Here is a 23308-nt window from a genome sequence, read left to right as displayed (position 1 = left end):
TTATAACCTAGTGCTATTATGAAGTATAAATTTAAAGTGATCATGAAATTCTATCATCCATTTAAGTCATAGTTTTGCAGAATTACCATCTTATGCATGTAAATATTTGTGACAAAGAGAACCAAGCTAAGAGTCCAAGGTACCTTCTTACTAACTTACCCTAGGTAAATTGCCTAAACTCTCTGTGCCTCAGGTTCCTCTTTTATTTTTTATTGCTATTATCATTTTTGATATAGAGTCTCACTCTCTTACCTAGGCTGGAGTGCAGTGGCACGATCTCTGCCCACTGCAACCTCCACCTCCCGGGTTCAAGCAATTCTCGTGCCTCAGCCTCCCAAGTAGCTGGGATTATAGGTGTGCACCACCATGCCTAGCTAATTTTTGTATTTTTAGTAGAGACAGGGTTTTACCATGTTGGCCAGGCTGGAAGTTCCTCCTTTAAAATAAGATAGTAGCACTCTCAGAGATGTAGGAAATCCTATTATAGAGAAGGGCTTGGCATAGGACTTGGCAGTAGGTTGCACTGTAAGTAGAAGCTGGGATTGTTGGACTATAACTCATGGAACAGGAAATATTCTGGCAGGCAGATGGGCAGAATTCTGATGGCTCCTACAACAGGAATAGAAAGAACTGGGTTCCATTTAAACAAGGTACCTCAAAGAGGCAATCTCGCTCTTGTTTAAAACTGCCTGGGCCGGACGTGATGGCTCATGCCTGTAATCCCAGCACTTTGGGAGGCTGAGGTGGGTGGATCATGAGGTCAGGAGTTCGAGACCAGCCTGGCCAATATGGTGAAACCTCCATCTCTACTAAAAATACAAAAATTAGCCAGGCATGGTGGCGCATGCCCGTAGTCCCAGTTACTCAGGAGACTGAGGCAGGAGAATCACTTGAACTCGAGAGGCAGATGTTGCAGTGAGCCAAGATCGGGCCACTGCACTCCAGCCTGGGCAACGGGGTGCGACTCCATCTCAAAAGAAACAAAACAAGCAAAACAAAACAAACAAACAAACAAAAACTGCTTGGACTTGGATGGCCTCATCATTGCCTCCTTTTCTGGGGATAAGATGAAAGGCTCCAATCAGGCTGACTGGCACTGGCCAGCTTGCCAGAAGGCATGGTATCCCCAGCCCTCTCTACATTATTCTAAGTTTGGAAGTAGTCAGAAGAAAATAGTATGGAATTTTGGTCCCCAAATCTACTCATTAAAACCATGTGGATACTCTACTTCACACCCTTACTTGAGGCCTTCCTGGCTCTGACACAGATTTAAGACCTAACTTTTAGTGAATTTTCTGATTCCTGGTCCTGCAAATTAGAAGAGTTCATGAAAGGACTGCTGGAAGGAAGCACAACTTGCAGTGAAAAGTGATAACTGCTCGATATTAAAAGAGAAACCCGGAAAGTTCTATACAAAACAATATCCCTGTCCACTATGATAGTGGATTTTCCTTAAAGATCACTCTCAGTTGTGTAAAATGAAAAAGATTAAATTGTGTTTGGTATATTTTGTTTCCAAAGGCAGAGAAGTATGAAATGCACTTTAAGGAAGATTTCTGTTCAGAAGTTTTGGTTTCAGTGGTCTACAGAGTTTACTTTTGTGGAACACCTCGTTCTCTGCCAAAGCCAAATAGATGAAGTGTTGCTGTATTTAGAAAATAAGGAAAGTGAAACATTTGTCGTAATAATGTGAATCTTTTTAAAATAATTGTTAAGAAAAACTATAAAACTGGCATACTTTTTAAAAAGATTATTCAGGAGCAAACTCAGCTCTATTAGGAGCTTTTTGAGGAACAATACTATTTTATTTTGGTTACCAGGTCTAGATTAGGACTCGACACTCTGAGGTTGTTTGTTTTTGGATGGAGAAATGGATAGATGCCTGGATGTATGAATGAATAGATGGATAGATAAATGGACAGACATTGAAGAGATGGAGGGATGGATAAATGACGTTATTTTGGCTTAAGTTGCATTTAGGAGAAGTTAAAAGGATGTGAGAGAGGCATGCAGGGGATATCAACTCCAAATCAGGAACGAAATGGCTTCTAGAGAGCTCACTTCAAAGAGAATAAATTTGAGAGTCAGAGAAACAGAAAGGATGCACAGCAGTAGTGAGATCCTGGCATCCATGGCACTCATGGATGTATAACTGATTCTAGTGTGTAAGTCATAAACAAAAAAGAAAACCCCAAGTTCTTGTCCTACTTCTGCTACTGTAGATCTGGGTGATTTGGGGGCAAACCTTTTATACTTCTCGGGCTGCATTTCTTTAATCAGCAAACTCAGAAGGTGAAACTAGATCATTGAAAGTCTACACTACTGATGTAGATCAATACACCAAACAACAAATTTCATTTCAAGGACATTGGTATTCTTAGAATACAATTAACATCCTCTTGCCTTTGTCTAAAGCACTTACTTTGCAGTCAAAATGGCTTGTCCACATTATTATTTTTTGAATGAAAAGATTTGTGCCTCCCACACGTAGGGCTTGGTGTATTGTGAATGGTAGCCTACACATACGCAAATGAGAACTGGGAAGATAATTAAATCTGAGGTGGAAATAGAGTAGACTTGTGAATGAACAAAGAAAGTGTATTTCTCTGGAAGCCAAGATGTCAAAGGTACATTTTATTGATACTGTATACTCTCAGCTTCCATGTAAATCAGTATTCTCATGCTTCAAATGTTCTAACCTTGCATTTCTGAAGAATCTATTGTGTATATTAACAGCGGCTGTGGCAGGAGATGTCAGGCATTTTTAAATTCCAGATTTAAAGAGATTCATGAATGTGCATGATGCTACACATAAAGAATTGAATGGTCAAATGCACTTTATTTTGAGCTAAAAGTTAGAACAAAAGAGATTCATGTCAAAGACTTTGGATTCCCAACCTGGGCTTTTTTTTTTTTTTTTTTCCTCAGAAAATAGCCATAAAACTAAAAGAGAGAACATGTGACCCAAAGGATTCTAAAATGCTTCAGAATTTTAGAATCCTTTCCAATGGCTCAGTTTGGGCAAACTAGCTCCAGACCCCACCACTATCCAAGCTCCACCATCCTTTCTTATGACTCACACTCACAAATGAGTGCTAAGAGCCTGCCCTGTGGGGGCAGGGATGCCCTGTTAGAACAAACATGAGCTGAAGGTGAACCCAAAAGTAATTTGGTTCCATCCTTTATATTACATAGATGAAAACCGCCTTCCAGGGAGGTGAAGTGATTCACAAAGTAACACAGCAAGTCACACAAGTCTTTTGATTTCTAACCCATTGCTTTTGTCATGGCCACATTGATCCCTGACAAATAATATAAAACAAGGAAACCAGACCCTTTTAAAAAAAAGGTTATAATGCTATTACTTTTTTTCAAATGAGCCATTTTTTACCTTTTCACTTTGTTGCTTTTGTCTTGTCAGCTTCTTGTAGAAAGATGACTTAGTACATGAAAATTCAACTTGGCATTTTCTTTAGACAAAGTGATCTTTTAAATGTAGCCAACATTTCTTTTGGAGTATGACTCCATTTCACATAACACAGCCTAAGATTGATGTTTACTAAGTTGGTTGTTCAAATCATGTTCGGCGCTTGGTTACATGGGCTGTTTCTTTGTCTCTGTCTCTCCCTCTCTCTCCTTTTTCTTTGTGCTTGACACAAAAGGATGGGGGCCCCAGGATCATCTGGAAATGGATCAGTGTATTCATGTGTGAGCTTTACAAAGCACTGGAGCAAAGGTGTCATTAAACGTTAGAAGTCATTCAATCACACCCATCTTTTCATACAAAGTATAGAGAGAAAAGGCTCTGTATGGTAACTATGCATAAAGCTTTGTGTATTCATTTACCCTCACTTCTTGGAGTAGCTGGCTCTTTTTTTTCCCCCCTGCCTCTTTCCTCTCTTAGAGGAGGTTTGAGATTAGCTTTGCTTGTCTAAATCTGCCATTAATACTAAGCTCTTGTGTAGTGCTGAAAGCAATTAAAGTAATAGATTTTTAAAGAGAGCTTGTGGGTTTAATTCTGATTATGTTTCCTTTCAAATTATTGAGGTTTTCTTAGGCGTCCATGGTAGTGCCATGGGCATGGCAAGAGAGAAGTATGACTCTTACCAAGAAAAAGGGAATGAATGGTCTACCCTTAATTATATTTCCAGCAACCTTTTCTAGGTACTAAATGTAGAAGTCAATTAAGGGAGGTTTCAATGTATCAGTATCCTGTTTGTCCTGAAATGTAAATGGAAGTTAGGAGAGTTTTGAAGCAGATGCCATCTGCTGGATAGCTAAGATACTGTAACCAAAATAATGTGAACAGAAAACATATGGAACAGTAGATCTAAATGAATGGACTGATTGCTAATTTAAGTAAATACTACTTCCCAGGCCCCAGGTAGAGTGAAATCTCCCTACTATACTGTCTACAATAGAAATATTTAAAATTTATTTTTTTCTAATCTGAATAAAGAAATCCCTTCCTGTTCATGTGTAATGCAGATCCTCAAACTCTTTATTTAGTTTGCCATCATAAGAACAAACAGAATCAGTGCACATCTTCTGAGAAATGATAACTGCAAAAATGCCTTTGGAAGCCCCCAAAATTAAAACCAGAAGTAATATAACAAAATGGGGAAGGGTTAATATGGTTATATGGGAACAAAGGGTAAGTATATCAAATTAAAACCATATGTAAGACAAATACAGGCTAAATAGTTAATTCTTTTTTTCTCTCTCTCTGAGGGACCCTTTTAAATAGAATTGGTCCTACTTAACACCGTCACACTCCCACACTGCTCCCTCATTGGAAGAACCCATGGATAAAGGAACCCCTCCTTAAACTGTCCAACCTCCCTTAGAAATTGTTTATTACAGTCATGTTCTGTATAACTGCTGTTGTTACAGGATCGCAGTCTGGCCTCCTTCTCTAACTATCAGAACAGGTTGTTTCACATTTTTGAAACCCATTTTCCTCATTTGTTAAATATCACTCAGTGAATTTTACTGTCCTAGTGAGCTATTTAAAAAGTTAAGGCACAAATTAATAGTATATCCATAAACAGCATTCCCCTAAAATATCCCCGTCTAGAGTTACTACTTAGAATCAGGACACTGACAAGTTAGTCTGTGAAAAGAATGGCATTTCTCCACATGTAGAAAAATGTCCTAAGAAATAAGAACCTTTAAAATTCCAATCTGCACCTGGCTAAGAACTCCTCTGGGGATTTTGCAGAGAGGAATGGGCAAGGGACCCATGCATAGTAATACATGTAAGTAAGATTGTTCATTTTTTTTTCTCCCAATGGAATATAAAACAGTAAAACAAACTCCATATATTTCTTACATGAAGAGCTCTCAAAATGGCGGCACCCAAGTTGTCAGCTCCATTTCCATTTCTGAGTCACAGATACACATATATGGCTGAAAGGAGGGAAGGAGCAGACAAAATACCAAACAGATGAAGAGAGAAAGGAAAGATGTTCCCAAACATGTTAACTGTTTGCCCACATGACTTATTGGTATGTTAATGTCTCACATCAGCCACCGCTAAGGAGAATGTCGCCCCTTCCTTCCCTCTTAGTTTATAAATGGAGTCACATTATGTAATCACCCTAATGAGGTAATAGAAACATAAGTACACAGGAAAATTTGATAGTGTTTTCTCCTAATTCATCCTCTGTTATGTTGGTCACCCCCCCATCCCATTAACCCTCCTTCTCTCTTCCAGACTGGCCCCCTCCAAATTGGCTGAGTTTCCCGTCCCAAAGGACATATTGTTGGCTATTGTTTATAATAAGTCTCTCCCCTCTTGGCAGGATAGAGAACAGCTGCTGGTCTATTCTCTGCCACAAAGACCAACTTCCTTCTTTTGCCCTGGATGATTGGAAGAAAGTCGGGGAGAAGAGCAATTTATAGTTGTGTTACAGTACCTCTATTTTCTTTTGTGTTTATTTATATTGCTTCCATTTCTGTCAGGGATTTCTGAGATAATCAAGATCATTCTGCTACAGAGTTTTCATTTGAGTAGGCTCTAGTGGCAGTTGGCATTTTTCTTCATTGAGTCAGACATTTTAGGACTCCAGGCTAGAGGAAGTAGTGAACATTTCTCTATGAGAGTTTGAGAATCAATATTCCTTTTTCTAAAAAAATGAACTCATGAATGTATTCTGTGTTACATGAACAATTAATGACTTTGAATTTCTCAAGGGAAGACACCTTGTCTTTGCCAACTTTCTGTTCCCCAAACTTAGTACAGTACCTGCTTCATAATGTTTGCCAGATGAAGTAAGTGGAGTGCTGAATGGAGTTCTGGTTTGTTCTGTGAAATGTAAGCTATGCTGACAGTCCAGCACTTAAGTCTCACCCTAGACTTCAGGCCAGGCAAGGCTCATCACCTGAGGTGGGACCTTCTTCTGAGATCTTTGCCTTAGATCGTTTCTGGCTCTAGGCTTCATTCTAGGCAAAGAAGCCAGGGAACTCAATGTTTCAGAATCTAACCCCCAGCAAAAGAAACCTAGACTAGGTACTGAATCTTCAGAGAGACTTGAGCAGCTCTGGAAGCAGAATGTGGAGAGCATTTCTCTGTTCTTTGTTAGGAGCAGAAGGAAACTCACAAAATGGAAAATTGGTCTAAGACTCTATACACAGGAAAGATCCAAATGGCATTGACACAGGGCATCAATGTGATATCAGACAAGACAGCTCTGGTGGATAAAAAGGAACCACAGCCTATCATTAAGGTTTCTCCTGAGAAGTGTTTGGAACTAAGGTTGGCTGATGGTGAAGGCCATGTTTACTAAAAACTGGGCAGAAGCAGAGTGGTGTCGTTAAGTCCAAGGAGTGTGACAAAGAGGAGAGTGGCTCCTGACTCTCTTACTTATTTCTGTATGAACTTAGCTTGATAAGCATTAATAATAGCAAATTTTCTCTGTAGTCAAAACAGTCCCCTTTCTGGGGAGTAAGAACTGGAGACCTGACAATTTCCATGTGGTAGATGCCTCATGGTAAGGGTTCTTAATGCATTTTCAAATTTCCTAGTATGTGTTCCTAAATGTATCATATGGATATTGATTAATATGGCTCCCTGTACTTTCTGTAGTCACTACCTTGGTTCACCCAACAAGCACTTAACAAATATGTTCCTGACAGACATGCAAAGAATGTATATGACTGAAAATAATACTAGGTGCTAAAGCCACTGAGAGGTCTGACTTTCTGATAGTTTGTAGCATTTTGCAAGCAATACAGGAAGAAAGAATAATAATAGCTATGACTTATAGAGTGTTTAAGACATGACAGGTACAGTTGTGGTCACTTTACATGCATTGTTTCATTTCATCTCATAGTCTAGTTTCTAAACGGAATCCTTGAAGACATACAATGCCACAATGCTCACTTCTGCCTAATTGTGAGCCAGGCCCTTCAGAACTGGACAAGGAAGCTGGTCAAGTTGGGTCAGAGAGTAGTTTAAGCCATCTCTGGAGACAGGGAGGCATAAAACTGATAGACAATTAAATCCAGGTAAAGTTTGCCCTTTTTCTGCTCTTTGCCTATCTCCCTGGTTCTCCTGATGCCTCCTGAATGGTTGCTTGTTAACGCAAATTAATTTTAACTGGTGGGCTTTCAGGCATTTGAGGAGATGGGAAAGTGGAGGCAGAAGACCCTGCATAGAAAACTGTTGAATGAAGTCCTTGATGTGAACCTCTATTTAGTTGCACATCACACTAAATAACACACTAGTTGAGGGCATGAGATCTAGAATCAGACTGCCTGAGCTCAGATGCCATGCTAGGGGTGTGACCTTGAGGCAGCTTCTGCATGCCTCAAATTTATTGTCTATAAAATGTGTAGAATAATACACATTAGTATTATTAGTAGGTAGAATAATACATACTTCACAGAATTCTTATTAAGGATTAAATGAAAGGGTCAAACTAAAGATTAAATGTAAAGGGTTTAACAAAGTATCTGGTATTTAATAAATATTGGATATTAGTATTACTGGTATTACTAATGATCAATATATACCTCTTTTCCTTCCATAGAATGTGAGGACTAATTGAGAGAAAGGACCTTGAATATATGTTTTATCTGCCACAATTCTTACCACATTGTAGATTCTAAATAAATATTGGACGGATGGATGGTTGGATAGATGGATGGATGAATTAATTTTAAGTTTCTATAGATAAAGGCACTACAGAAGACCTCCTTGTTTTCAGATCTCTTCCAGAAAGTCATGCCTCACAGATTATCCAAAGGAAATGACACTAAACCAACATGCAACAGCCAGCAGGGGGATTTCTTAGGCTCAGCTAGACATTTAGACTCCTAAGACTATCACACATCACATTTGACATCAGTCTGCCCAGAAGAATATAGGATCAGAACTATAGCTTGCCAGTAGGCCAGCATCAGGTATTCTTCTGCAATTAGAGCCATGGAAGCTCGGGTGCCAAATGATGAGATCCACACTGGGCAGGTGAAGGAATTGCCTTTACTTAAGAGCCTTATTTCCCATAGGAGTCAGTAACTCTTGTAACAACTCCATAGACATAGTTTGCAAGGTCCTCTCCAGAGACATGCTAGTTACAAGAACTGCTGCATTCAGGGAAGTCCAAAGCATAGCCAGCAGGTATTTGCAGTTCATTTATAGTTCCTCCCAGTCCAGATGCACTCTACCAATGAGGGGTCATTTTTACCATATGCAATGTTGCCTAGTAACATAGTTGACACATACCATCTTTATCTGTTTCCAGGGAAACCAAGTTAAGAAGTTAACCAAAGGTCAGATTCTCATGCAAAAAGGAAAAGAGTTTTTGTTAACTCTTTGCCTGCACCATCCAAATAGTTATTTACTACATAGCCTGAAAAACCCATCCAATGTCCCTGTGAAGGATTCATTCTTACATCTCATATATGCCACAAATATGTCCCAGAGTGGAATAATACAGGCATGGCCATATTTGCCAGTCGGTGTCCTCCCTTCAACAACCAAGAGTCAAGCCCAGTGATCTTTCACCCTATGCCTGCCCTTCACATCAGCCCCTACCGACAGTCCCATTCTTCAGAACTCAAGTGTAGTTGACTCTCTCACACATACACTCACTTGTATAAATACCCAGGGATGTCAGTTTCCTTAGATCTGTATGATCTTAATAGATTATTAAATAGGTCCAGGAGCCACACCGGTAAGGATCTTTTGAGTTTTACCCTTCCTTACTGGGTTGTTTTGAGGGTAAAATGGAATAAAATGAGATCAGAGAGGTAAAAAGTTGAAAGGACCATGGTAAAAATCTATGGTAGCTTTACTGTTCGGAAAGAACGTGAGTGAATTCCAACACGGTTGGATGGGGTTTGATCTACTTAAGTGAGTAGCTCAGAGAAGTCGTGACTTCCCTGATTTAAATTATTAATGATAATAAACATCTTTAAGTAATTAGGGAAATTTTTGACCAGTGAGAACCACTAAACTCCCAAGTCATTCCACATTAATGAGGTGTTAGAGATTTCAATTAGCACACACTTGAATTAGTAAAAGGATTAAGTACTCCATTTATTCTTCTGCCTGGATGATAATAGTAGTTTCTGTTTATTAAATTCTTACTGTATACCAGGGACTGTGCAAAATGCTTTACTTACAGCCTCTTGATTAGTCACCAAGTATTATTGGCCTTACTTCTTAGCAAAAACCAAAGCTCAGAGAGATTACAACACTTGCCCACGGTCGCTCAGCTATACATAGTGGAGCCAAGAGTTTAGTCAGGTTTAGTGTTAGTCCAAATCCTATGTCCTGTGTTCAGTGATATCTTCATGGAGATGCTTTATAAACTATGCATTATTTCTATTAAGCCAATCTATAAACACACTGGGAACAGATTCCATGTTTCCTTTAAAAATTACTTTTACCTTCTTTGTCAAAAAAAGAAAAGGGACTTTATTGAAATGGAAAGAAAGTTAAATTTGGATGAAAATATATGTGAGACAAAGGGAAATCTTCATTTTATGTAAATTTCTCTACTTTATATTATTACCTATTCTAAAATGGAGTTGATAATACAAATGATTTTAAAAGGACACAAAGTACAAAGAGGAGTAAAGAAAAATAGAGCATAGTATGCCAGTTCTGAAGTCACCACCCTGCAGCTCATCTTGTCCAAGTCCTTTTAAAGGAAATAGTAATTACAACTCATTATCTACCTTGAAGACCTGCTAAGTAACATGAGAACAGGTTCCAAATCAATAGAATTCTATTTGAGATATTAGAAGCATCACTGGTTCATTATAGTGGAAAGTTTAATAGCTCTTCCAAAAAATTTTCAGCTACATGTTTTGTCTGCTTATAATGTACTTGAACACATATTCCTGCCAAGAAGAAAAATTAAACTAAATTCTTCCACTATGGCTAGCACTTTTCTACTTTGTTCTGATTAATTCATAGATCTGTGCAACGAAAGAATTTGCAATTGGCAAGCAAAATTCTAAATTAGGCAGTTTAATTGTCAAGTAAATTTTAAAACTTGCATGAAGGATGGAAAAAATATAGAAATGTCGACATGTTGGCATTTGGAAACCATAAATGGGTATTTTCTTGTAGGTCATGCCAATCTAAGAGAAGGAAAAAAAAAGAAAGACTTTGGTTCTGTCAGATAGAATAACAGTTTCTTTAGGAAACTTTAAAAATCTATTTCATCATATATTCTTCCAATGAAGGTAAATTTAATGAAATTTTATACTTTATTTCCTTGAACTCCTCTTAAGACATTTTCTTAGAAAATAGCCACATAAATTTAATTACCTATATGTGTTAAAAATTTTAATTTAAAATCATTTTCTTTCTGCCTAAATTACAGTGCAAAAAATTAGTTGTATAAAAAAATTCAGAGTGGATTTTATTGGCATGATTTCATCCTCCTAAACTTTATTTATTTGGGACATCAAATAAACATTGGGAATGAACATTTATGGATTTACTTTGTTTTCTTTGATCATGTAATTTTATACTACATTTTGATTCTTATAAATTCTTATTTCTTGATCCAGATTTCATTGTTTTCCATTAACTTGCTCACCTATTAAATTAAGTTAGAATAATGTTAACTGCAGTGTATGGGGGTGTCAGCAACCTTTTAAAAGTGGTGCACCTTTTTATGACACCTGATCTGAAGTGCTGAGGTAACTAGAGTGGGTACTGGCTGTCCAAACAGAGCATGGAGGATGGAGATAGCACAGAGTGGGTATGAACCCTAAAACGTCTTGGCTTCTCAAACTACCCCACCTACCACCTCCATATTTTCTACTGTAGTCTAGAAGGATTAGACTCATTCCTCATTCATAACTTAACAAGACTTGTTTTTTGTTGTTTTTTCTTTCTCTCTCTCTTTTTTCTTTTTTTTTTTTTTTTTTTTTTTTGAGGCAGAGTCTTGCCTGTCGCCCAGGCTGGAGTGCAGTGGCATGATCTTGGCTCACTGCAACCTCCGCCTCCTGGGTTCAAACGATTCTCCTGCCTCAGACTCCCGAGTAGCTGGGATTACAGGTGCCCACCACCACCATGCCCAGCTAATTTTTGTATTTTTAGTAGAGACAGGGTTTCACCATCTTGGCCAGGCTGGTCTCGAGCTCGTGACTTCGTGATCTACCTGCCTCGGCCTTTCAACGTGCTGGGATTACAGGCATGAGCCACCGCGCCCGGCCAACAAGCCTAGTTTTAACTACATTTTTTTTCTAATACTTGATGGAGATTATCAGAAGGGGTGAAAAGAAGAAAGAGGTAATCAGTCTCTTTTGGATGCTTACTACATGCCAAGAGATGGACAAGGCATTTTATTTAAGTTTTCTGTATATAAATTTCCAATGAATCCTCAAAGCATACCTGTAAAGTAAATTTTATTAACCCCACTTAAAGAAGAGGATACTGAAGCTTAGAGAATTCAGTAATTTGCCCAAGGTTTTTTATTATAAAATGACAGAACAAGGATTTGAGATAAAACTGCTTGGAGTTTGGGTTGGGAGGTGAGTTAGTTGAGCAACAAGAAAGTGAAAGGAAATTTAGAATAGGGGCATTTGAAGGGAAAGCACTCATTTATTCATTGAACAACTATTTAATTAGCTATTAAGTGCCAGCCCTATGCCAGGCACTAGGGGAAGCAGGAGTAAACAACATCTATGTGGACACTATACTCCTGTCAGTTGGAAACTGAGTGGCCAGGAACAACACAAGCAAACTTAGACATGTAAAAAGAAGATAGAAGGTACCAAAGGCAAAATTTTGTTTCTGTCTATTTATTGATAGCCTCAACTTAAAAATACAGTCTTCTCATTGTAAGGTCCTGATCTAGTCTTGGGCTAAGCTCTTACTCAAGAGTCAATTCTAACAAACTTATTGTTGGAAAGTAGGGACTATGATTCTGCCAACTAAACATTTTGAGAGAGCTTTAGTGTAGGCCTCTGAAGGAAAGCCTCTGTCAACTTCCTGGGTGATCTGGAGGGCACAGGTTTTGGAGGTGATACCTAGATTCCATTTCTCCACCATATCTTTTCCTAAACAGACTCTGACACTTAGAAGATACTTTACAAATAATTTGGGGAGGAAGGAAGGGAGAGAGAGAAGGAGAGAGGGTGGAAAGAGAAGGAAAGGAAGGAAAAAATCTTCCTGGGCCTTTGCTCTGTTTCTACCTGTCCTCCTCAGGGCCTTCTGATGTAAGCAGAGTTCACCTGTTCAAATCCAGGGGCTAGAATTGTCCTGTGTATTCAGAATGTCCCAAGTTGCTCAGAGCTGCTATCATCTAAGTCTATTTGGTATAGGTATTACCTTTAATTTGAAGGTAACTCGTATCTTACAGTATCTGAGGTAAAAAGAAAAGCATTAGTCTGACAGAGGTAGTCTACCATTCATAGTTTTGAAACTAGAACATTTTGCTGACAAAGAGAAATGTATTTTTAAGCCTGAGTTCTTAAAAGAAAAAAAAAACCAACAACAAAAAAAACCCTTCCATCCTAGTCCTTTAGCTGGGCTATTTCTGCCAGCTCCCCGGCTATGAACACAACACATTCTTGCAATTCATCACGTCTCTTGGCTCGAGCCTGCCTTTAAAATGGTTGGCGGCATATGCTTCTCATTAGCTCTGCTTCTACCTCACCTGCGCTGGTCAGAATCCTCCCTCCTGCCCCCTGCCTGCTCCCCTCTCTCCTCCTCCCCCAACTCAGACGCATACTCCTGCCAGTTTCTCTTACCAAGCAGCGCTGCCTGCTGGCATGGCAGGAGGCAAGTGAAGGAGAAGGAGAAAGAAATCGTTCACTTCTTTCAAAAGTAAATTCTGTGGGTTAGCAGCCTTTCGTTCAGAAATAAGACCTAACAAAACAGAAGGCCAAGGGCAAAACCAAAAACAATAACAGGAATGGGGGAAAAAAAAAAAAAAAACAGAAGTGTGCTGACTGGGAGAAAAATAAAGAGGGGCAGCAAAAGGTTACGAGGGAAAAAAAATCCCATTATTACATCACTTTGGCAATCAAATGTTTCCTGAGGTCACCAGTTTGTCTCGATTTATCTTCTAGGCTCTACAAGGAAGTTTCATCCACTTGGAGGGTATTCTCTGTTTAACTCAGTTATCTGAGTGACAAAATATTCCTTTTATTTGGTGAATTGTTTTCTCTGTGACCTGTTCTTAAATTAAGAATTAAATTGAACCAAAGAATTTTGGTTCAGCCCAAACGTTACTTTCTATACACACCAATTTTTCTTTCTGATTGTTGTTTTGTTTTGTTGAAACTGGTTTTGAATGGCAAGAAAGGACTATTGAAGGGGTAAAGGACTTAATCTTTGATGGCATTAGGAGAGAATCATAGACATCTGAGGTTTGGGGAGATCTCAGACATTCCCAAATCTGTAACATTAATCTCACAGATGAGGAAACTGAGGCTGAGAGGTGAACTCCCCTCTGCCACACAAAAAGGAAGTGGCAGGACTAGGGTTCACCCAGGTCTTCTTAGCCTCAGTTCTTTTCTGATTCCGTAATATGCAGGCACCATACTCTCTCACAGCAGATAAAGAATGGCTTTTTGTTCTAGCTCCAACAGTTAATATAGAACTTGATGAACAAAAATGACTTTGCTCAGTACGGGTGACCAGGGACATCCATATGACCTAAATCACCAGATACAGGAAAACCTTTGAGCAAATTAGAAAAAGGCTGCTCTTCCTTAGGGCCTATCCACCACCACCACCCCCATCTCCACCCACCCACCCTGGGTGCAAGGCTTGGTGAAGTGCAGGATGGATATATTTCAGTCTTAACTTGCTTTTTCAACCAAGTGCTCTTGTGTAGGCAAAACCTCCATGAGTGTATCTGCAGTGGTCCTGTCCTAAGAGTGTGCATGATCAAGAGACTCACACTAAGTGCAGGCATATCCTGATTCACGAAAGTCATCCTGATACTTTTATCTGGAACAAGAGCCCTTTCATTACAATGGATGAAGACAAAAATACCTCATCTTCAAGGAGTTGAATGACTTAGTTTTTCGTCAACAACTTTCATTTCCAAATAGGTGAGACAGATTCATCTCTGAACAAAATTGTACAGTCAGAAAAACTTGCCAATGGACCTCTTTTTCTCTTGATTCACTTCAGCAGCTAATGCTTGTATATCATCCCAGCTACCTGCATGGTTGCTCTTTCCTGGCTTGCAGTCACAATCCTTTCTAAGATGTTAGCTGATCATGGCCTCATGCATTCATTCCAAATATAATTATTGAGCACTCCCTCTATGCCAAGATTAAGGTTTCTCCTAGGGTATTTGTGTTTTAATAGGAATTCTTAAGCCTAGCACAATGCCTGGGACATAATATATACTCAATAACCATATGAAAGGAGAGGAAGGGAGAGAATGGGGGGAATTTTATACCCAAAGAATGGTTGAATTTGTGCAGTAGGCAGGGAAGGGAAAAACTGGGAGCAGAGAACCTTTACCACCACCCTACATGTCATGACAAATAGGTTGTGTGTGTTCTGTCCTATATTCTACAAAATACTTAAGGCATCCATGCAACCATGTGAAAAACTGCTGCTGGCACCTAGAGTCCACCACCAAAACCCTTCCAGGCACGCCTCCCTCTTGCCCAGCCAGATACCCCAGCACTTCTGAGACCCAAGAATTTTCGGGCCCTGTTCTTGTTCCACAGCTTGGTTCCCATTGTTTATCCAGTCCCTTGGTTAGCAACACAGTCTTGGATTCCTACCTTAGCTTGTAACCTTCATACAAGGTGTGATTTCCAGGATTTCCCTCTGGCTTTGTGTACTCCACACCTGCCTTTGTCTCCATGGGCCATAGGCCCTGGGCCATTACTCACCTGATTGACATAGATGATTACCTTCATCTACTTATTTTAAGTCCATTATGGAAGTTACTACCAGAGTTACCACCAGCACTTAGGGAACCCTTTCTTTGAATGCCTCTGTTGGAAGGCATTCTTATTTTCTTCTTAGTAGGATAGTTACTGTGTGTTTTTCTAATCCTTTCAACTGAAAGTTCCTAGAAAGAAAACACTGCCCCATAGTCACCTCTGTGGCACCATTATTGCTTAGTGCAGTGCTTCATGCAGAATAATTGCCTGCCCAAAAAATATTTTGTTATAGTTGAATTATTCAACCAGACATTCTATCATCCATTTAGTTTTTGTTGTTGTTTTAACCAGAGGAAATGAACAGGGATTTCTCATCGATTCTGGTCTTCCTCTGATGGGAAAATTTTTATATTAAATGCAAATTACTTTACCATCTGTGTGCAGCATAAGTTCCAGAATCCTTTCCCTTTATATGGGGAGACCAGGTTTCCACCAGTGACCATTAAAGTATATTTGGCAGCCCTTGTAGCTCTTTCTCTGTAGCCCAGATGGCAGAGTTTTTTTCTCATTTCCATTTGAGAACTTTTATAAGGCTTCTTTATGTTGTTCCTTCTTTTGAAGTACTTTTCTGTTCCTGGACAGGGGGATTGGACCTTCTGCCTGGACCTCCCTGTCTGTACTCTCTAGTCATAGTGCTGATTCTGGGACAGGAAGCAAATTTTGCTAGTTAGAACCCAAATCCATTAGCTAATGTGTCTGATCTTTTGTGTTCCTGTTTGTAAAATGATATCAGTATTAGCTGTTGGTCCTTCCTTCCGTTGATATAAAAGTAAAGTAATAATTTAGCTGATCTAAGATAAAGATGGTGTTCTTTGTGTGTTCCCTGGAGAACCCAGTACTAAATTAAAGGTGGTACCCAGACAAGAGAATGTTAAGGATTCGCCGGGTGGTGGCTCATGCCTGTAATCCCAGCACTTTGGGAGGCTAAGGCGGGAAGATCACTTGAGGCCAGGAGTTTGAGATCAGCCTGGCCAACATGGTGAAACCCCATCTCTACTAAAAATACAAAAAATTAGCCGGGTGTGGTGGTACATGCCTGTAGTCCTAGCTACTCAGGAGGCTGAAGCAGGAGAATTGCTTGAACCCAGAAGTTGGAGGACGCAGTGAGCAGAGGTGGCACCACTGCACTCCAGCCTGGGTGACAGAGCTAGACTCCGTCGCAAAAAAAAAAAAAAAAAAGAACGTTAACGATTGGTTGGTAACAAGCATCATCTTAACAAGGACTTCATTGAGCTTTGTGACATTAGGTAAATAAGGAAGATGGAGAAAAGGCTTCATGGGGAACAGGCCTGGCTTAAAGACGAAAAGGTAGGATGGGAGCCAATGGTGAAGGACTTTGGTTTTCAGGCTAAAGGCTTTAGACTTTATACGGTAGGGAGCTAAATTGGGATTTTAAATAAAAGTGTGACATGGTTACGTATGGGTTTGAGAAGGGTGGCTCTGACCTCAGTGGGGAAGACCACGGGAGGTTACTGCAGTAGTCCCTGAGAAAAAAGAGAAGGCAGCTGGGCACACTGGCTCACGCCTGTAATCCAGCACTTTGGGAGGCCGAGGCAGGTGGATCATCTGAGGTCGGGAGCTCGAGACCAGCCTCACCAACATGGAGAAACCTGGTCTCTACTAAAAATACAAAAATAGCCTGGTATGGATGGGCATGGTGGCTCACGCCTGTAATCCCAGCACTTTCGGAGAGGCCAAGGCAGGTGGATCACGAGGTCAGGAGATCGAGACCATCCTGGCTAACACGGTAAAACCTCGTCTCTACTAAAAATACAAAAAATTAGCCAGGCATGGTGGCGGGCGCCTGTAGTCCCAGCCACTCGGGAGGCTGAGGCAGGAGAATGGCCTGAACCCGGGAGGTGGAGCTTGCAGTGAGCCAAGATCGTGCCACTGCACTCCAGCCTGGGCAACAGAGCAAGACTCTGTCTCAAAAAAAAAAAAAAAAAAATTAGCCGGGCGTGGTGGCATATGCCTGTAATCCCAGCTACTCAAGAGGCTGAGGCAGGAGAATCGCTTGAACCTGGGAGGCGGAGGTTGCTATGAGCCGAGATGCGCCATTGCACTCCAGCCTGGGCAACAAAGTGAAACTCTGTCCCCCAAAAAAAAGAAAGAAAAAAGAGAAGGGCTAGATCCAGGCAGACAATGGAAACTGGGAGAAAGGACAGATTTAATAGGCATTTCAGAAAAAAAAAAAATCACTCACTCCAGCTAGTTTGGCTTCCTTACAATTTCTCATACATCAGGCACACTCTTGCCTGATGGAGGTTCCTACTGACTGAAACGCAATGGAACACACTTCCTCCAGATGACCATGGATCACCTCCATAGACTCTTCAAGTTTTGCTTGAATACCACCTTCTTTTTTCTTTCTTTCTTTCTTTCCCTTCCTCCTTCCTTCCCTTCCTTCCCTTCCTTCCTTTCCTTCCTTTCCTTCTTTCTTTCTTTTTATGGAGTCTCACTCTGTTGCCCAGGCTGGCTCACTGTAACCTCCACCTCCTGGGCTCAAGCAATTCTCCTGCCTCAGCCTCCTGAGTAGCTGGGACCACAGGCACCCACCACTATGCCCGGCTAAATTTTTTTTTTTTTTGTATTTTTAGTAGAGAGGGGGTTTCACTATGTTGGCCAGGCTGGTCTTGAACTCCTGACCTCAAGTGATCCACTTGCCTCAGCCTCCCAAAGTGCTGGGATTACTGGTGTGAGCCACCACACCTGGCCTTGAATATCACCTGTTTAATGAGCCCTGCTGTAACCAACCTACTTGAAAATCCATACCCTTACCAAAATCCATGTGTTCAGAATGTTCATAGCAGCAATATTTAGGATAGCCAGCAACTAGAAAATACCCAAGTGCCCATCAGCAACTGGAAGGGTAAATAAATTGTGGTATAATCACATACTGGAACATACTCTACAGCAATCACAATGAATGACTGATCTACAACTACATGCAACAACGTGGATGAATCTCAGAAGCATAATGTTGAAGAGAAAGAAGCCTGATTAAAAATACATAATATACAATTCCATTTATATAAATAAAAGTACAAAAACAGTCAGCACTGAGCTTTGCTATTTGAAAACAGAATAATAGTTATCTTAGGCAGGGTGGTTAGTTATGAGAAGTACACAGGAGGTTTCTTTTGTTTTGTTTTTCTTTGAGACAAAGTCTCACTCTGTCGCCCAGAAGGGAGTGCAGTGGCACGATCTCGGCTCACTGCAACCCCCGCCTCCTGGGTTCAAGCAATTCTCGTACCTCAGCCTCCTGGGTAGCTAGGATTACAGGCGCCCACCACCATGCCCAGCTAATTTTTGTATTTTTAGTAGAGACGAGGTTTCACCATGTTGGTCAGGCTGTTCTCAAACTCCTGACCTCAGGTGATCCACCCGCCTCGGCCTCCCAAAGTGCTGGGATTACAGGTGTGAGCCACCGTGCCCAGCCAAGGAGGTTTTTTAGACTGTTGGTAATGTTTTGTTTTTTGTTCTCCAAGCTAGTTACATAAAGGTCATATATTGTGTGCAAACTCAGAGTTGTACATTAATGATATGATACTTTTCTGTGTGTGTATTATACTGCAATAGAAAGTTTAGAAAATGCAATTTTTACCCCAACACTTTTCATCTCTGTTACTCTATTTTTCTGTAATGCTTGCCATCTTCTAATATGTACTATAATTATGACATTTATTATATTATTTCCTCATTAGATGTAAGTTCTATGAATGCCAGGATTTTTATGTCTGCTTTATCTGTCACCTTGAAGTGTACCTGGCACATAATAAATAATATAATGAATGAACAAACTATTGAACCAGGAAAACATGAATAGAATAGGCCAGGCTCAGACATCTAAAGGGAACCCCGGTTTGAGGACTTGTGTTGCTTTGGAAGTGTCTCATTCCTGAGTGCAGCGAATAGGCTGCTAGCCCCAGGTTGTGATGATCTTTTTTTTTTTTTTTTTTTGAGACAGAGTCCTGCTCTGTCACTGTCGCTCAGGCTGGAGTGCAGTGGCACGATCTCTGCTCACTGCAAGCTTCGCCTCCCGGGTTCACGCCATTCTCCTGCCTCAGCCTCCTGAGTAGCTGGGACTACAGGCACCCGCCACTACGCCCGGCTAATTTTTGTATTTTGAGAGACAGGGTTTCACCGTGTTAGGGTTTCACCATGTTAGCCAGGATGGTCTCGATCTCCTGACCTCGTGATCCGCCTGCCTTGGCCTCCCAAAGTGCTGGGATTACAGGCGTGAGCCACCGCGCCCGGCCGATGATCTCTTTTCCTGCCTGTCTAAAGGTTACTTTTTCAAGGCTACTTCTGGGCCTTTAAGCTTTCTTTCTTATCCTAAACTATTTATTCTATTTGCGCCATGTCAGAAACCTTCCCATATTCAATGCAAAGCTCAAATGTCATCTTCTCCATAAAGCCTTTCTTAGCAGCCTCAACCCAAATTCCTCTAGCTCCTCCTATGTTACTTTTATGGAATTCTTTTCTGTTCCCTCCTCTCCTCTTCCCTCCTCCCCTCTCCCCTCTCCTGTCTCCTCTCCTCCCCTCTCCCTTATCCCCCTCCCCTCTCCTGTCTCCTCTCTCCTCTCCCCTCCCCTCCTCTCCTCCTCTCTCCCCTCTCTTCTCTCTTCTCTCACCTCTGTCTCCTCCTCTCCCCTCCTCTCCTCTTTTTCTGAGTTGGTCTTGCTCTGTCACTGAGGCTGGAGTTCAGTGGTGCAATCATGGCTCCCTGAAACCTCAACCTCCTAGGCTCAAGTGATCCTTCTGCTTCAGCCTCCCAAGTAGCTGGGACTACAGGCATACATCATCATGCCTGACTAATTCTTTAAAAACATTTTTGTGTAGACAGGGTCTCACTATGTTGCCTAAGCTGGTCTCAAACTCCTGGGCTCAAGTGAACTTGGCCTGCCAAAGTGCTGGGATTACAGATGTGTGCCACCAGTAATTCCGCCTGGCCTAGAATTATTTTCATTCATTTATTTATTCATTCATTCATTTGACAAGTATTATTAAGCACCTACTAAATGCCACATACTATACTAAGTGCTGAAGATACAAGGTTGAATAAAACAGTTATGTCTTTGATAGGGCTAGGTTTCAATAGAGTAGATGAACAATAAGTATATAAGGAAATACATAAAATCATTTTGGGTACTTTGAAAAAAATTAAGCAAGGTAGAGAGTTAGAGAGTGATGGAAGTGCTATTTTAGATAAGTTATGAGGGAAGACTTCTCTATAGGCAACACTGGAGAAGTGACCCAGATAAAGTAAGGACCATGAGGAGGAGCATTCCAGTTAGAGGAAACAGCAAATACAAATACCATGCAGTAAGAGCAAGCTTGGTATATGGGTCTCTTGCTGTGAATTCCTCCAGATAGGGCTTAAGTGCCTAGCACATTGCTTTGGATGAGAAAGTTCTAAGCGATTGAATAGTTGAACCAGTTTAAAACATTGAATTTATTCAAGATCTAGTCATAATTTTTATCTATTTTGCGTTTTTCCTTAGATCAACATTTCCTAAGATGTGTTCAGTAGAAGACATTCCAAATTGATTTACGCAAAATCTAGTTTCACCACATACACCAAAATGGTTCTGTGGTTAAATGAGTATAAGGAACGATGAAGATGTGTATGTCGATATAATACAGGTGTTGCTAAGACCCACAGTAAAACAAACAAGCAAACAAAAAAATGTCTAGTACATTATTTTCTAACCACAACCTTCCTTTCCCATAGAACACACATTACTAATGCACAAGACAGTAAAATTCCATAGAATTCAATTTGGTGGAGCATGTTCCTCAGATTCCTTCATTTTATATTAAGTATATATTTATTAAATTCTTAATATTTACCTGCTTTCATATTTTACGAGTAAAATATAGATGCCAGAATATTACAATGTTATTCTAATTATGGCACAAGAATGTGGATTTTCAACATTCTCTTTAGTACGTTAATGTAATACCTATTTTCACAGCCCCACCCTGCCTAATTTTAGCCTATATCTAGTGATCTTTATTAGCCAAGCCATCTCTTGGGGTATTTTGTCACTGTCAGGATTGGGAGTTAAAATATCAAGAGGCAAGTTTATGAGCCTTGAAGTAAACAAATAGCAGTCAAGGAAACAGAAACAAAGCTTAGAATGCCCAGCGAGAGCTCCTGGCTGGTGACACATCCAGGCTCTGTGGGTGAATTGCCTTTGAACACAGCTCCCTCTGGGAGAAAAGATCCAGCCAATTGCTGGTTCTAACCTGTGTGTTTTTGGTTTCTTCCCCTTTGCACGTCCTCTCTGAATTGGCCTGTTCTATGTTACTGGTGATTGCCTCAAAACTCAGAAGTCATAGTATCAATCTAAGCTTCTTTGCTCACTGATTGGAGACCTCTTTAAGTATTTATTAGTTTTCCATGGTCACCAGCCAGCTGGTGAATGCATGCTTCAGTAACAGGGCTAAATTTGCAAACAGCTGTCAAATAAAGTTGAAACTGTCTTACAACCGTGTATAAGGGTGTTTGTCTCGAAATGCATGTGTATATATCAGAGAAAGAGCAAGAGAGAGAACACCTGGACTTTTGGACAATTTAGCCAAAGATCTTGTAGCCACTGGTGATTTTTAAAAGGAGAAAAGAGCACTTATTCTTATTTTATTGTGGGCACGTCATTTAGCATTACAGGTTTAAAGGCAGCAGGGAAACTGCAAAGCCAGAGTTATTTTTTTTGTTGTTGTTGTTTTTTTATTTTTTATTTTCTGAGGCATTAGTTGCTGTGAAGAAAAACAAGCCAAAGTTTTGCTTGTGGGCAGAAACATCCCAGAATGCATCTGGTGACTGGGCAGAAAGCAAGTACTGGCAAGAGCCCAGGTGCGTTGGCTCCCGACGGCAGTGCAGGAACAACCTAGGCGGTATTCTCAGACTCCGATCAAATTTCCAAGATGGATCCAGTTCAAAATTATCTACTCCGCTTTCACTTATCTAAGATGGTGCTCCAAGTTTAGGATTACAGTCCTCTGAGCTGGGAGTGGAGACTATAGGGAGAAAACCCACTGGTGTTTTTAAATACCATGAAAGGTGTTTTATCTTGTTTAAGTTAGCCGCAGCACACCTGGAAATTAGAAATATACTGTCATTCCTGGGGAATTCAAGGCAGTAAGAATTATTGGGGGTTAACAATTTTCAGGAATTTGGATCGCCACATCTCAGCCCCGGAGTTATTTTTACAATGGGACTTCTTGGTTAAATCTCTAAATTTAAATAGATAAGGATTCAACATATTCTTGAATCTTGAGATCTAGTTTCCCTCATCATGGGCCAAGTAGGAAAGAAAGAAGTGAAACCCTCAAATCACAATGTATCCCTATTTGCCATCCTATCGTGAGCTCCTAAAATCTTATTTTCACACCAAGTGCTTTTTCACCGTCCACTGCAACTGTGATTGTGGTGGTGACCAGACCTGTTCCAGGGGCTCTGAGTCAGGAATGGTGATCATGTGTTCTTTCCCATCATATTCCTGCAGAGAGTAGTGCTAAAAGAGTTTAAAATGAATGAAAGATCCACCTCTCCTAGTTGTTAGAGGAAATAAAACTCTCTAGAGTGAACTTAAAGTGCCCTTCTACCCCTACTTAAAACCTGAGACATACCATCTTTTTTCTTGGGCCCTATACCTATATCTTACCCCCGGCTTTTTGATTATGTCCGTTTGTATGTGTCATTCCGGTGGGGTTAAGCCACTCATTAGATGAGAGATTTTCTGTGTGTCATGTGCCTACTTTATTATAGAATTACATGTGTAGCATCTCAAAGAATAGCTATGTTTTCCACAAAAATCTGTTTTAATTGAACATAATACTGTGGTAAAGTTTTTTAAAATTGCTATACTTGTGCATTATTTTATTCAGTTATATTCTGTTTTTTGAGGGTTTCACT

The 23308-nt window shown here is 40.3% G+C and overlaps 1 protein-coding gene across 3 annotated transcripts in view, besides 1 other annotated feature; it reads left to right on the top strand.

Moving 5' to 3' along the window:
* MAML2 (mastermind like transcriptional coactivator 2) overlaps positions 1-23308 on the top strand; it is a 366598-nt gene that overhangs the window by 283885 nt on the left and 59405 nt on the right. The window lies entirely within an intron of this gene.
* Positions 19002-19502: an enhancer, noted in NCBI's record as "H3K4me1 hESC enhancer chr11:95772973-95773473 (GRCh37/hg19 assembly coordinates)". NCBI's record gives its function as "activates a minimal SCP1, AML or CMV promoter by ChIP-STARR-seq in primed H9 embryonic stem cells {active_cell/tissue: H9 hESC(primed)}" and the evidence as "EXISTENCE:reporter gene assay evidence [ECO:0000049][PMID:30033119]".

This window comes from Homo sapiens, chromosome 11 (genome assembly GCF_000001405.40).
Source record: "Homo sapiens chromosome 11, GRCh38.p14 Primary Assembly".
In the NCBI taxonomy this organism is placed as follows: Eukaryota; Metazoa; Chordata; class Mammalia; order Primates; family Hominidae; genus Homo; species Homo sapiens.
This window is presented reverse-complemented; position numbering and strand designations above follow the sequence as displayed.